At 35.7% G+C, this 2,143-nt stretch overlaps 1 annotated feature.

The window, feature by feature from the left end:
- Positions 875-1,054: a silencer, noted in NCBI's record as "silent region_4277". NCBI's record gives its function as "represses an Ori minimal core promoter by ATAC-STARR-seq in GM12878 lymphoblastoid cells {active_cell/tissue: GM12878}" and the evidence as "EXISTENCE:reporter gene assay evidence [ECO:0000049][PMID:35858748]".

The raw sequence follows: 2,143 nt of genomic DNA, 5'->3' as shown, positions 1-2,143 counted from the left end.
GTTTGGTTCTTCTTTCTCAAGATTGCCTTGGCTACTCAGGGTCTTTGTGGTTCCATGCAAAATTTAAATTTTTTTTCTATTTCTGCTAAAAATGCCATTGGAATTTTGACAGTAACTGCATTGAGTCTGGAGATAACTTTGGGTAGTATGGAAATTTTAGCAATTGTAATTTTTCAAATCCACAGATACATAATATCTTTCCATTAATGTTTGTCTTCTTCAATTTCTTTCATCAATGTTTCAGTTACAGTTTTCAGTGTACAGATCTTCCATTTCCTTGATTAAATTTATTTCTAAGTATCTTATTTTTTGAACATTTTTATTTTAGGTTTGGGGGTACATGTGAAGGTTTGTTACGTAGATAAACACATGTCACAGGGGTTTGTTGTACATATTATTACATCACCCAGGTAATAAGCCCAGTACCCAATAGTGATCTTTTCTGCTCCTCTCCTTCCTCCCACCCTCCACCTTCAAGTAGACCCCAGTGTCTGCTGTTTCCTTCCTTGTGTTCATAAATTCTTATCATTTAGCTCCCATTTATAAGTGAGAACATGTGGTATTTGGTTTTCTGTTCCTGCCTTAGTTTGCTAAAGATAATGACCTCCAGGTCCATCCATGTTCTGGCACAAGACATGATCACATTTTTTATGGCTGCATAATATTCCATGGTGTATATGTACATTTTCTTTATTCAGTCTATCACTGATGGTAATTTAGGTTGCTTCCACGTTTTCACTATTGTGAACAGTGCTGCAATGAACATTCACATGCATGTGTCTTTATGGTAGAATGCTTTATCTTCTTCTGGGTATATACTCAGTAATGGAATTGCTGGGTTGAATGGTAGTTCTGCTTTTGGCTCTTTTGAGAAATTGTTGTACTGCTTTCCACAATGGTTGAACTCATTCACACTCCCACCAACAGTGTATGAGGGTTACCTTTTCTGTGCAACCTCATCAGCATATGTTACTTTTTCACTTTTTAATAATAGTCATTCTGACTGGTGTGAGATGATATCTTACTGTGGTTTTGATTTTCACTTCTCTAATGATCAGTGATATTGAGCTTTTTTCATATGCTTATTGGCCACTTGTATGTGTTCTTTTGAAAAGTGTCTGTTCATGTCCTTTGCCCACTTTTTAATGGGGTTGTTTGTTTTTCTGTTGTACATTTAAGTTCCTTATAGATGCTAGATATTAGACCTTTGTCAGATGCATAGTTTGCAAATATTTTCTCCCATTCTGTAGGTTGTCTGTTTACTCTGTTGATAGTTTCTTTTGCTGTACAGAAGCTCTAAAGTTTAATTAGATCCCATTTATCAATTTTTGCTTTCGTTGCAGTTACTTTTGGGGTCTTCATTATGAAATCTTTGCCCATTCCTATGTCCAGGATGGTATTGCCTAGGTTGCCTTCCAGGTGTTTCTAGTTTTGGGTTTTATATCTAAGTCTTTCGTCCATCTTGAGTTGATTTTTCTATATGGTATAAGGAAGGGGTCCTGCTTCAATCTTATGCATACGGCTAGCCAGTTATCCCAGCACCATTTATTAAATAGGGAGTCTTTTCCCCATTGCTTGTTTTTGTCAGCTTTGTCAAAGGTCAGATGGTCATAGATGTGTGTCCTTATTTTTAGGCTCACTATTCTGTTTCATTGGTCTATATGTCTGTTTTTGTACCAATACCATACTGTTTCGTCATTGTAGCCTTGTAGTATAGTTTGAAGTTGGGTAATGTGATTCCTCTAGCTTTGTTCTTTTTGCTTAGGATTGCCTTGACTATTCAGGCTCTTTTTTGGTCCTATATAAATTTTTAAATAATTTTTTCTAGTTCTGTGAAGAATGTTATTGGTAGTTTGATAGGAATAGCATTGAATCTGTAAATTGCTTTGGGCATTATAGCCATTTTAATGATATTGATTCTTCCTATCCATGAGCATGGGATGTTTTTCCATTTGTTTGTGTCTTCTCTGATTTTTTTGAGCAGTATTTTGTAATTCTCATTGTAGAGGTCTTTCAACTCCCTGGTTAGCTGTATTCCTAGGTATTTTATTTTTTGTGTGTGGCAATTTTGAATGGGGTTGCCTTTCTGATTTGGCTCTTAGTTTGGTTATTGCTGGTGTATGAGAATGCTAGTGGTTTTTGT

Source organism: Homo sapiens, chromosome 12 (assembly GCF_000001405.40).
Source record: "Homo sapiens chromosome 12, GRCh38.p14 Primary Assembly".
In the NCBI taxonomy this organism is placed as follows: Eukaryota; Metazoa; Chordata; class Mammalia; order Primates; family Hominidae; genus Homo; species Homo sapiens.
This window is presented reverse-complemented; position numbering and strand designations above follow the sequence as displayed.